The sequence below is a fragment of the Homo sapiens genome, chromosome 7 (assembly GCF_000001405.40).
Source record: "Homo sapiens chromosome 7, GRCh38.p14 Primary Assembly".
NCBI classification, from domain to species: domain Eukaryota; kingdom Metazoa; phylum Chordata; class Mammalia; order Primates; family Hominidae; genus Homo; species Homo sapiens.
Window position 1 is genome coordinate 63,411,705 of NC_000007.14, and position 14,060 is coordinate 63,425,764.

Sequence of the window (14,060 nt, forward strand, 5' to 3'; positions counted from 1 at the left end):
ATGCAAGGCTGGTTTAACATATGCAAATCAATAAATGTAATCCATCACATTAACAGAACCAACCACAAAAACCACATGATTATCTCAATAAATGCAGAAAAGGCCTTCAATAAAATTCAACACCCCTTCATGCTAAAAACCCTGAATAAACTAGGTATTGAGGGAACATACTTCAAAATAATGAGAGCTATTTATGACAAACGCATAGCCAATATCATACTGAATGGGCAAAAAAGCTGGAAGCATTCCCTTTGAAAACTGGCACAAGACAAGGAAGCCCTCTTTCACCACTCCTATTCAACACAGTATTGGAAGTTCTGGCCAGGGCAGTGAGGGAAGAGAAAGAAATAAAGGGTATTCGAATAAGAAGAGAGGAAGTCAAATTGTCTGTTTGCGGGCGACAAGATTGTATATTTAGAAAACCCCATTGTCTCAGCCCCAAAACTCCTTGGGCTGATAACCAACTTCAACAAAGTCTCAGGATATGAAATCAATGTGCAAAAATCACAAGCATTCCTACACACCAATAATAGACAAGCAGAGGTCCAAATAATGAATGAAATCCCATTTACAATTGCTACAAAGAGAATAAAACACCTAGGAATACAATTCACAAGGGACACGAAGGACCTCTTCGGGGAGAACTACAAACCACTGCTCAAGGAAATAAGAGAGGACACAAACAAATGGAAAAAATATTCCATGCTTATGGATAAGAAGAATCAATATCGTGAAAATGACCACACTGCCCAAAGTAATTCATAGATTTAATGCTATTCCCATCACCCTGACACTTTTGATATCCTTCCTCTAGCAAGGCTGCATTGGGGTTGCCACCCTGATTCCTCTGTAAGAAAAAAAAAAAGCTAGCGGGTGAGGTAGGACTCAGGGGCCACGGACAGGACAGGGCACCCAGGCTGGCCTCCCCCAGGACCCTCTAAGGCCCCTGTAGGCAGGAGGGCTCAGTGGAGTTCCAGGACCCACTTCAAGGATGGTGCCTGTAGCCCCTCCCTGGACCTCCAAGAAGGGCCAACTCCCTCTGCAACCTGCACCCACACAACTCCCTCTAAAAACTGCACTCACCCAACTCCCTCTGCAACCTGCACCCACTGATCTCTTAGAGGTGAGCATCCATCCATCTTTGTGCACATGGCTTTCCGCTTTAATTCCGCTGGATAGTCTCCTTGGCAGAAACACCCAGGGAATCCTGGGCCTGTGCTGGATGTTCTGTAAGTACCAAGGAAAGAGGGGTTTGAAAACTCAAGAATATAATTAATATTATTTTCTGCACTTTAATATCTCAGGGTTACTTTCCCTCCAAAATGTGTAAAAACAAATATTGAGATTTCTGTCCTTTCTATTATGTTAATTATGTCATCATGCAAACCTTTCATTTTCCTGAAATTTATTTTTATACCAATCATTAAATTTTTGTTCTCTTCATTCAAAATGTTACCTGTTTTAGAGACAAAATTTTGAACATTATATGCTTCACAAATTATATGTTTCACAATAGGAAGCAGCATTTTATTTATGTAATGACTAATGTAATTAATAAGTTTATTAAACAAGTAAATAACTGAAGTAAACTTAGTTTGTATTACTTATATGAATTATTTTACATTTTATCTTTGATCTTAAAAAATTTTTAACTAGGGATGCAATTCAAAATTGACAGATATTTTAACTCAGAACTTTGAACATAATATCCATTGATTTGTGAATTCTATGAAGATGCCAAATATGGGTTAAAAATCTCTTGTTGCTTTGTAGTTGATTCACATTTTATATTTCAATGATTTTAAATCATTTTGGTGTTAAGCTTTTTAGTTATTATGATGTTTTTAGATATTTTTTGTACTTTCCTTGGTTGATGTTTTATTAGTTCTTCAAAATGTTTAAGCATGCCATATTTTCTCTATTTTGTTCAAAAAATCATTAGACAAGGCCAGGCGCGGTGGTTCACATTTGTAATCCTAGCGCTTTCGGAGGCCAAAGCGGGTGGATCACCTGATGTCAGGAATTCAAGACCAGACTGGCCAACATGGTGAAACCTGTCTCTACTAAAAATACAAAAATGAGCTGGGCTGTGGTGGCCGGCGCCTGTAGTCCCAGCTACTCAGGAGGCTGAGGCAGGAGAATCGCTTGAACCCGGGAGGGGGACGTTGCAGTGAGCCGAGATCGTGCCACTGCACTCCAGCCTGGGCGACAGAGTGAGACTCCACCTCAAAAACCAAACCAAACCAAAACCAAACAACAACAACAACAAACCATTAGACATAGCACTCTTATTTCATTTTTAACTTATTCTGACTTGCATATTTTCCACTCATTTTTCTCCTTGTCCTGACATCTATGTTTTTTTTTTTCTGTTTGACGGAGTCTCGCTCTGTTGCCCAGCTTGAGTGCAGTGGCGCCATGTTGGCTCACTGCAACCTCCACCTCCCGGGTTCAAGCAATTCTCCTGCCTCAGCCTCCCAAGTAGCTGGGATTACAGGCACATGCCACCGCGCCCAGCTAACTTTTTGTGTTTGTAGGAGAGATGGGATTTCATCGTGTTAGCCAGGATGGTCTCGATCTCCTGACCTCGTGATCTGCTTGCCTCGGCCTTCCAAAGTGCTGGGATTACAGGCGTGAGCCACCGCACCTGGCATTGTTAGCTCATTCTTTTTCTTATACTTTAGCTCCTATTTTTTACTTTGCTCATATCCCTTATATTTATCTAAATATTTTAACTATGTATGTATATATTTTTATTTTTGTATTTTTATAGAAATTACGTTATGCTATGTTGACCAGGCTAGCCTAAAACTCCTGGCCTCAAGTGATTCTACTGCCTTGGCCTCCCAAAATGCTGGGATTATAGGCAAGCGCCACCATGCCTAGCTTACATATTTTCTGTACGTCTGCTCGGAATTCCTTGAAGTCTACTGGTACAAGTGTTTTATGATTGTTGTTATTTTTGAACAAAATTAATTTTTGTGTCCTTTATTTTGCATATTTAAAAAAATTACGTTGTGTGATTATACTTGACAAGCCTGAACTGATAAGATTTTCAGTTTTTTGGGTTGAGGGTTTTTTCCTCAAAAAAAAAAAATTGTCTTGGAATTTTTGTTTTCTTCTCTACATGAATCTGAAAACATTTAAATTAACTTATTAAATTTTTCTCTATAAAAACTCCGGGTCAATTCAAACCCCAACATATCAGTACAGTTGGCCTTCCTTCCCAAATCAGCCAAGGCACGGACTGACTAGCTTCCCTATTTATCTCACTTTGACTGCAGGCTTCATATTCTATCTCATTTTTCTTAGATTTGCAGAACCTTGAGGCCTTTGGCTTTAGTTAGGCTGGTCAGGTTCATCTCCCTTACTTTGATTCTAGTGTGGCACCACATCTACCCCTGAGAGCTGTAAAAACCCAAGAAATGATGCCCCTATTATTATCAACCTATTGTAGGAAGCCTCACCCTGCCAGATGGACTGTCTCATCCTCCCTTCTTTCTGCTGCCTGTGCTTCTTTCTTTGTTTTATTTTTTTGAGATGGAGTCTCACTCTATTGCCCAGGCTGGAGTGCATTTGCACTATCTCGGCTCACCGCAACCTCCACTTCCCGGGTTCAAGCGATTCTCCTGCCTCAGCCTCCTGAGTAGCTGGGATTACAGGCACCCACCACCACGCCTGGCTATTTTTTTTTTTTTTTTTTTTTGTATTTTCAGGGGCAGACAGGGTTTCATCATGTTGCCCAGGCTGGTTTCGACCTCCTGAACTCAAGTAATCTGCCCACCTCAGCCTCCCAAAGTGCTTGGATTACAGGTGTGAGCCACCATGCCCAGCCCCTTTTTTTTACTTTAGCACTTAGAACTAAACTCTGCAGTTAAGCACTTGCTACATTGTCTAGGCTTTATGGTGTTTTTTTTCAATGGAACTATTTTTAGAACATGTAACTTTTCAGGATATTCCCAGAATCCCAGATAGCCACATTTACCTTTGGAGGAATTGCTTATCAGAATAATGAACACAATTATCTTTAGAAAAACCATATGTCCCCAAGGAAAGTTCTAATTTTTTGGAGTATGTATTGTGCAACATTTTTAGTAGAATGTAGTTATGACAATGTTGCCATATGTTTCAAATATAAAATACTTTCTGTTATGTATAACATAAGGATTTTATGTGATCATCATGCCTTTTTGCTGGGGAGAATGCACCTGTGTCTTGTTAGAATTGTTGATACTATTTTAATTGCTAATAAGAAAATTAATGATACCAAATCCTAGTCATTCTCAACAGTACTACTCTTTTTTATCTTAATTTCCACTTTTATCACATGCAATAGAAACGTTTTTAGAAAAGTGTTTGTTTTCTAGGTAAATACATTATCTTTATTATGCGTTGTTAATTTTTAAAACCATAAAGTAAGACATACCAATATGTCCTCTATTATATTTTACTGGAATGTGTGAAAGATTTATAGATGCCCTGTAGGAGAGGTTAAGCAGATTTTTCTATTCCTAGATTTCTGGAGGCTTTATTGTTAATGAGTAATGGATTTTATCCAATGCTTTTGTGTGTCTACTGAAATAATTATGGTTTTGTCCTCTATTCTATTAATATGGTATATTACATTGACTGATATTTGCATTAGTGAGATAATTCCACTTGGTCATTTTGTCTAACATTTTATGTGTTGCTGAATTCAGTTTTCTAGAGTTTTTAAAGACTGCTAGGCTGGGTGCGGTGGCCCATGCCTGTAATCTCAGCACTTTGGGAGGCCAAGGCAGGCGGATCACCTGAGGTCAGGAGTTTGAGACCAGCCTGGCCAACATGGTGAAACCCCGTCTCTACTAAAAAAAATACCAAACATTAGCCGGGCATAGTAACGGGTGCCTGTAATCCCAGCTACTCAGGAGGCTGACAGGAGAATCACTTGAACCCAGGAGGCAGAGGGTACAGTGAGCTGAGATGGGGCCATGGCACTGCAGCCTAGGCAACAAGAGCAAAACTCCATCTCAAAAAAAAAATTCTGGGTCTATACTTATGAAGAATAATGGTCTCTCATTTTTTTTTTTTTATGCTTTCATGTGGTTTCGTTTACTGGGTAATACCGGCCTCAACAAATGAATTGTTTTCTTTTCCCTTTTACATTTTGCAAGTGTTTGTGTAGAATTGGTATTAATTATTCATTAAATGTTTAGTAGAATTTACCAGTGAAGCTATCTGAGCCTTTTTTCTGGGAAGGAATCTTGTCAATGTCTTTACCTGTTATAAGTATATTAATATATTCTCTTTCTTCTTGGATTAATTTTGAGAATTTGTGCTTTTCTGCAAATTTGTTTCTAATTTCTAGTACTTCATGCCTCTAGATTTTCATGGAGGTTAAGATGTAAGAATAAAAAGAATTGTTGAGAGAATACAGCTTTGGGTAATTCATGAATGATCCAATGTCTGATGATCTTCTTTTGTAAGATGGGGAAGATTATTCTTCATGCAGTACTTAAAATTCATATTTATATTATAAAACAAATATAATATTCTATCTAAAGTGAGCTAAGAAGATATGTTAGTTAACTTTGTGCTTAATCCGGATGGAAGTCTGAGTCTACCTTCTCTCTTCCATGAATATGTAGTCAAGTCAAGGCACAAACATAATTTGAATAAGGACAAACACAAAATGACGGTAAATGAAGAAGGGTATGACAGATTAAAATGTGATGAAACAGCCCTGAACACGTACATAGAATTCACGATGTGTTACGCACTATTCCAAGGCATTTGCACAGACAGTTTAAATAACACCTGTAAGACTAAAATAAACAACACAAACATTCATGTAAATGAGAAATTGAAACATTAAAAATAATATTAGGTGACATTAAACTGTCAAAAAATAAACTTTTTTTATATACAACAAATAAGTAAACATAAAGAGTGTTCATTAACATTTAAGACAGTTTGATTAGTTATTATATGAACAAATGGATAGCATTATTAAGTAGTATAAAGAGCATACATATTATTTTCAAATTCCATAGAAAAATATTTAAAATTTTAAAATTTTGGATGCAAAATTATGTCAGTAACTTCATGAAAGTAGACATTCAATAGGTCATATTTTTTAGACATTGTGAAATGACATCTGAAACTGTGAATTAGAGTGTAACCCATAAACAACATCCAGCCACAGACAAGTTAAAGACCAAGTTGAATAACTATTAACTGTATAATAACTACATAACATTTTCAGAGGGCTCTTCTTTCACTGCCTCAAGAAAACCCTTTACATGCTCAAATTGCCTGCTTGACTTTGCTGCAGGATTTACAACACATACTTTAACCTTTCCCAGGCCTTTCTCAGTCCCTCAAAGATGTAAACCTTACCACGTATTTGAAATGTTAACATCCAGGTAATTAGCAAAACAGCATTGCAGCTGAAATCAAATTGAAAAAAAAATTGAAGGTTTTTAGACTCACCCTCAAAATTTTATTTCTCGGTTAGTACCTCTAGCTTAGGCAAGAAACATTTATAATGATGAATTTATTTGTTTTCTATCATTTGTATGACTCTCGGACTTTTGGAGTACACATTTGGAACCTTTTCTACCCCATGGAAATTTTTTGTTCTTCTGTTTTACCGACCATTGCTTTCCATCTTCTGACTGGCCTTTGTGGGTTGATGGTAAACTGAGAAGTTGAGACACTAGAATATGTGGCCTGAAAATGTAGATTGCACCCCATTTGCAGGAAGCTGTTTTTAATAGGTGTTTTAATCATGGAAAAGCTACGCTTTTTGTGCTCTCTTTGGAGCTTTAGTTAAAGCCATGCATGACTTCTTGGATTTGGTCTCACACATGTTTATTTGTGTTGGTTTTGAGTCACTAGTTCAGGTACGCCTTTAATTTAAAATTTTGGTTCATATTTAGAGTGTGACAGAAATGTTTTGTTTTGTTTTTTTCATTTAACCTTCTCTCCTGACATAAATAAAACCATATACTGTGGTTTGGAAGATAGAAAACATTTACTAAAAATTTCCGAAGACAAACAGCTTTAAATAGTAATTACCCTAGACCTCCAGTAAACAGAAATGTCCCACCTCCAAAATTTCATCTTGATGTAAACTTTAGAAAGAAAAAAACAAGTAATGTTTGCTATTTACTTGGCTAAAATTTAATTTTAAAAAATTTAAGAGCTCTACAGTCAAAAGTCCACTTATAACTGATATTCAGGCTATTTATGTATATATTAATTTGAGGCCTGTGGGTTTTTTTATATAAGCTTCTCAGTCAACTCAATTCCTCTTTCCCTAAACTCATGCTAACTATGTGTGCTCCCTCTGTCTCTTCTCTTGCTCACATGATTTTTGCCAAGGATAATGTAAAACTTTACTGGCTTTTTGGAAACCTAAATCTTCTCAAACGGCCTTTTCTAGAATTAACTCTTCTGTTTACTTCTATCTATCTCATCTTCCTTTTGCGACCTTTTGGTACCATGTGAGAGAACCTAAAGGAAACTTCTAGCAGCCTTGGACCCCTTGAAGAACACAGATAAAGCACCACAGGCTTCTCCGTCTTTGGCAGGGTACCTCTATTTTTCCTCATGGAGCCCCAAGAGTTGTGGGTGGACAGGTTGCTCTCAGGTCTGAAGCTCTACTCTTTTACAATGAACTCCTGCATCTCTAGGGCTTTTAGATACATACATGTGTAAGCTATATTTTGTGTCTACATGTATGTATATGTCTATCTACGTGTTTGTATATTATCTACATGATATCAAATTAACTTAAATGAGGCCGAGGTGGGTGGATCACCTGAGGTCAGGAGTTCGAGAGCAGCCTAGCCAACATCGTGAAACCCCGTCTCTACTGAAAATACAAAAATTGCCCAGGTGTGGTGGTGGGAACCTGTAATCCCAGCTGCTCAGGAGGCTGAGGCAGGCAAGTCGCTTGAACCCGGGAGGTGGAGGTTGCAGTGAGCAGAGATAGTGCCACTGCACTCCATCCTGGGTGTCAGAGTGAGACTCCATCTCAAATTTATATATATAATCCGGGAGACGGAGGTTGCAGTGAGCCGAGATGGCGCACTGCACTCCATTCTGGGCGACAGAGTGAGAGTCTGTCTCTAAAAATAAAAAAAATAAAATAAAAAAGAGAGATAAACTAAGTGGATATAAAAATTTGGAGAAAGAGAAGAGAAAAAGAGTTATAAAAGGTTTATAGAAATCTTATCTTGTATGGTCAAAGTTGATTGAGATTAGATACACCTATTTATAAAGTTTTCTTAAAGGTTTATTTCACAAAAACAAAAGATATTTAGATCTGTAAGTAAATACATCCTGTTCCACGTTAAAAGATGTTTCCTGCTGGGCGCAGTGGCTCACGGCTATAATCCCAGCACTTTGAGAGGCCAAAGCAGGCAGATCACTTAAGGTCAGGAGTTCAAAACCAGCCTGGCAAACATGGTGAAACCCCATCTCTACTAAAAATACGAAAAATTAGTTGGGCATGGTGGCACTCGCCTGTGATCCCAGCTACTCGGGAGGCTGAGGTAGGAGAATCACTTCAGCCCAAGAGGTGGAGGTTGCAGTGAGCCGAGATTGCACCACTGCACTCGAGCCTGGGCAACAGAGCAAGACTCCATCTCAAAAAAAAAAAAAAAGATGTTTCCATTTAAAATCCTACGTTTCTAAAAAATCATAAAATATGTACTCATAAATTGTTAGTATATGACTAATAGTTAAAATTGCTTACTTCTTAGAATTTCACTATGAGTTAAAATTACTAAGAATTAAAATTCTGGTTAAGATATAACTAAAACTATTGTTAAGAAGAGAAACAATTCTACATAGAGTGTACAAAGAAAATAAGATGTGTTTCTTGGTGAAAAAATTTATTTTAAAAAGGAGACATGAGGATGTGATTTTTTCTTAAAAGGCAATTTTGGTGAGTTTAGAGTTTATTTAAAGGTTGCATAAAATTGAAAGAATAAAAGCCAAAGAAAATGAGATAAACTCGACAGGGCACAGTGGCTCATGCCTGTAATCCTAGCATTTTTGGAGGCAGAGGCAGGTGGATCATGAGGCCAGGAGTTTGAGACCAGCCTGGCCACTATGGTGAAACCCCTTTTCTACTAAAAAAAAAAAAAAAAAAAAAATTAGCCGGGCGTGGTGGCACACGCCTGTAGTCCCAAATACTCAGGGGGCTGAAGCAGAAGAATCGCTTGAATCCGGGAAGCAGAGGTTGCAGTGAGCTGAGATGGTGCACTGCACTCCATTCTGGATGACAGAGTGAGACTCTGTCTCAAAAAATAAAAAAGAGAGATAAACTAAATGGATATAAAAAGTTGGAGAAAGAGAATAAAAAAAGAGAAAAGAGTTAAAAGAGTTATAAAAGGTTTATAGAAGTCTTATATTGTCAAAGTTGATTGAGATTAGATACACCTATTTATAAGGTTTTTCTTAAAATTAGTTTTAATACTAATCATACAAAAATACAATCATAAAATTTGAGTTTTTCTTTTAAACCAGATTTCTATGAAGAAACAGATACCCTGCAAACCTGTTGGAAGGAACCATATTAGGTTTTCTTGGCCACTACCTGTGCTGCTAAGTTGAAGGGCAATGTCTTTTAGGATATTTGGTCACCCCTCTATTTATACACAGCTCCGAAGAAACCCAGCACTGGACAAATTCTCTCAAACTTTTCCCCAAGCTTGGCCACCAATCTGTTTTAGATGAAGACTCCATTTGGAGGAAATCTGCTAATTATCTGCCTGGCTTTCAGGAAAACAGCTTTATGCATTTTACTGGAAAAATGCTTTTGCCTTGGTGAGTTGTTCCCATGAACACATGACTTAAAATATTTTTATAACCTTGGAAAAAATTACAGATGCAACTGTTGTATTCATTGTAGCTCAACAAAAATGCTACTGATTCACTGGCTAAGCTTGTACTAGACAATCATATTGCTTTAGGTTATATGCTAGCTGAGCAAAGAGGTGTATGCATAGTGGCAAATACTTCTTTATCATATATATAAAAATATTCCCTATGAAGTAGAAATTCATCTAGAAAAAAATGAGTTACCAACTGTCACAAGTTCTCCACCCTGCACAAGAGTGTAACTGGCGTTTTCATGAATGTTTGTAATTCATGTGTTAATCTGTAAGTTTCTTGTAGAAATGTATTTATTTTTATGCAGGCATAAAGAGAGAGACATTTTCTCTATTTCTTTTCCAAGGTAGCATTCCCAAAACCAAGTCCTGCGACTCTGTCTGAAATCATGCTAAAACAGAACAGAACTCAGAATCTTACTACGCTCACTCTGCAAAATAAAAGCAGTACCTGAGAATTTTTAACCAATGGAATATGATTTTTTTCTCTCAAATCTACCTGTTTTTCTCTTAGAAAACATTTGTGTTTTTTTATCTTTCAAGCTCTAATGATGAAATACAGTATATGGTTAATGAAAGGCGGAAGTTGAAATAACTGAACAAATATATTCAAGGTGATGAACACCTGGAGAGGCGGTGCTGACTGGAACACAGACATTTTTTTTTTCATTATTATACTTTAAGTTCTAGGGTACATGTGCACAACATGAAGGTTTGTTACATAGGTATATATGTGCCATGTTGGTTTGCTGCACCCATCGACACATCATTTACATTAGGTATTTCTCCTAATGCTATCCCTCCCCCAGCCCCCCACCCCCTGACAGGCCCCAGTGTGTGATATTCCCTGCCCTGTGTCCCAGTGTTCTCATTGTTCAACTCCCACGTGTAAGTGAGAACATGTGGTGTTTGGTTTTCTGTCCTTGTGATAGTTTGCTGAGAATGATGGTTTCCAGCTTCATCCATGTCCCTGCAAAGGACATGAACTCACCCTTTTTTATGGCTGCCTAGTACTCCATGGTGTATATGTGCCACATTTTCTTTATCCAGTCTATCATTGATGGACATTTGGTCTGGTTTCAAGTCTTTGCTATTGTGAATAGTGCCACAATAAACATACGTGTGCATGTGTCTTTAGAGTAGCATGATTTATAATCCTTTGGGTGTATATCCAGTAATGGGATTGTTGGGTCAAATGGGATTTCTAGTTCTAGGTCCTTGAGGAATCACCACACTGGAACACAGACATATTGGATTCATGTATCAATCACTTGAGAGAATCTCCTCCCCACATCCTGCTCACTAAAGAACTTGATCACCACCTTCTCAGAAGACAATGCACTTGCTCCCTGTGTGTCTGATGTGTATTTGGCTTTGCAAGTTCATACACTACCTCAATAGGGTGGGTTTTACTTCTACTTAGGGATATTCTCCTTTCACAAGTGTGAGAGAAACAAGAGGGAAAGATGCATTTGCGCCTTTTCCCCTCAATACCAGCACCTGATTGGCTGACCACCAATATGTCTGCGAGGAATAAAAGCTGGGTCTGAGGGAAAAATTTTTTTAATGTTTAAGCAGTTAGCTTTTTAGAGGAATGGTATATCAGGAAACTGCTCTCAGCATGAGGACATCCAGCTGCTTCTCTGAGAGGCTCCACCCAATATCTCAGACTCTCCTCTGGAAGCTGACAGAAGGACTGATATTTACTAGACACTCCAAGAGACATGGCTCTTGTGGGTATCTTGGGTCATCCCCAGACGGTTGTAGTATTCAGAACCAGGAAAAAACAGGACAGTGGCTGAGGACACATCACCCTGCAAAGGTTCCAAAAAGAAACCTTCACCCAGAGATATTCTGGTAAGGTGTGTGTGCCTAGGGAAAATTAGACGCGCGAAGACTTGTCACAGCAGAGTGTCAGGTGATTACCCTTTGCTTCCCTGTCATGTGAAATGTTCACAAACAGACACATATTTTTAGAAGAGCCATCCACCACGCCGTGAAACAAAAATAAACAATTAAAATGCTGTGTCTGTTTTAAAACTAAATAAAAGACTAATAGTTGATAATGTTGTGATTTGGAGAAGAACGGTTGGCATTTGGGAATGTGGGAAAGGAATTGGAAAGTTAGAATTTTCCACAGGGCCTAGAACAGTTAGGCTGGGAGAACAGTCATGGATTTGAGACCCTGCTTGCCATACATTTGAAAAATGCGAGGAAAACCAGGCCCTCTGTGGAGGGTTAAAATAATTCAATAGCTGGCACTTACACTGAAGTGGCCATGCTGCCCTGGGATTCTTCCTAAGGAAACCTAACTACATCAAAGGAATTTATTGTAAATTACTAACTTTGAGAAAATAAAATTAGGCTTAACCAACCACAAGCTGCCAATAAAGCTCTCATTACACGACCAAGACATTTCCACCTGATGGGTGCAAATGCAATATATAACTGTAACCAATCAGATATTGAATTTGGTTTTCTTTCTGATGCCCTTTACAAAAACCTTTTTTACAAGACCCTCCTTGGAGCCTCCAAAGAAACCATAACTTGGTGCTCTCTGATTCATAAATTGCTGTTTGTGCAAATAAACTCTATTAATCCGTTCCTGAATTGCTATGAAGAAACACCTCAAACTCGGTAATTGATTAGAAAAGATGTTTAATTGGCTCACGGTTCTACAGGCTGTACAGAAAGCAAAACACCAGCATCTACCTCTGGGGAGGCCTCAGGAAGCTTAAAATCATGGTGGAAGGGGAAGCAGGAGCTTGTAAAGCAGGCAACGGGGGTGCTATACACTTTTAAATGACAAGATCTCCTGAGAACTCACTCACTATTGGGAGGACAGTACCAGGAGGGATGGTGCTAAACTATTCAGAAGAAATCCGCACCCACGATCCGATCACCTCCCCCCAGGCTCCACCACCAACATTGGGGATTACATTTCGATGTGAGATTTGGGCGGGGAAACTCATCCAAACTCTATCACTGCTTAACATTCTAAAGCTGTCTCAATTTAGGCCGGGTCGGTGGCTCAAACCTATAATCCCAGCACTTTGGGAGGCCGAGGTGGGTGGATAACTTGAGGTCAGGAGTTTGAGACCAGCCTGGCCAACATGGTGAAACCCCGTCTCTACTGAAAATACAAATATTAGTCTGGCGTGGTGGTGCACACCTGTAATCCCAGCTACTCAGGAGGCTGAGGCAGGAGAATCGCTTGAACCCGGGAGGCAGAGATTGCAGTGAGCTGCGATCACACCACTGCACTCCAGCCTGGGTGACAGAGCGAGACCCTGTCTCAAAAAAAAAAAAAAAAAGAAAGAAAGAAAGAAAAGAAAAGAAAAAGAAACTTATATTTCCCAAGTCCCCATCTCATCTCTGTCACATTTGTTCACGTGATGACACCACTTGTAGCTAGCTATCCTAAGACCTCAGAGTGATTACAGAGAGCTCACTTCAATTTCTACCCCAAATTTCAAATGCGTCTGCTATGTGTGTGTGTGTGTGTGTGTGTGTGTGTATATATAAATATATATATATAAATATATATATAAATATATATATAAATATATATAAATATATATATAAATACATATATAAATATATATATAAATATATATAAATATATATATAAATACATATATAAATATATATATAAATATATATATTAATACATATATAAATATATATATAAATATATATATATAAATATATATATATATAAATATATATATATAAATATATATATATATAAATATATATATATAAATATATATATAAATATATATATATAAATATATATATATATAAATATATATATATATATATATATATATGTACACACACATATATTTGGAATAGGCCTCATTTACCTCTCTAAGAAGGACACCATCATCATGTTTAATCTGTCTCCACATCTGCCACAGTGCTGACTGCCTGATCTGATGCTCTGGACTATTGCATTATTTTTCTCTCACCTCAATTAAGTGATCAGAATGTGGTATTTAAAACCTATAATTGGATCCTGTTTGTCAATTTTGGCTTTTGTTGCCATTGCTTTTGGTGTTTTAGACATGAAGGCTTTGCCAATGCCTATGTCCTGAATGGTAGCCAACCCAAATGTCCATCAATGATAGACTGGATAAAGAAAATGTGGCACATACACACCATGAAATACCA

General features: G+C 37.8%; 1 long non-coding RNA gene across 1 annotated transcript in view; it reads left to right on the plus strand.

The window, feature by feature from the left end:
* The window catches only part of LOC124901641 (uncharacterized), a 28,360-nt gene extending 18,018 nt beyond the window's left edge, over window positions 1-10,342 (plus strand). The window contains exons 3-4 of the long non-coding RNA XR_007060340.1: window positions 9,520-9,819; window positions 10,232-10,342. This is a non-coding gene — a long non-coding RNA (uncharacterized LOC124901641). The remainder of the gene's footprint in view (window positions 1-9,519; window positions 9,820-10,231) is intronic.
* Window positions 10,343-14,060: the final 3,718 nt, after the last annotated feature.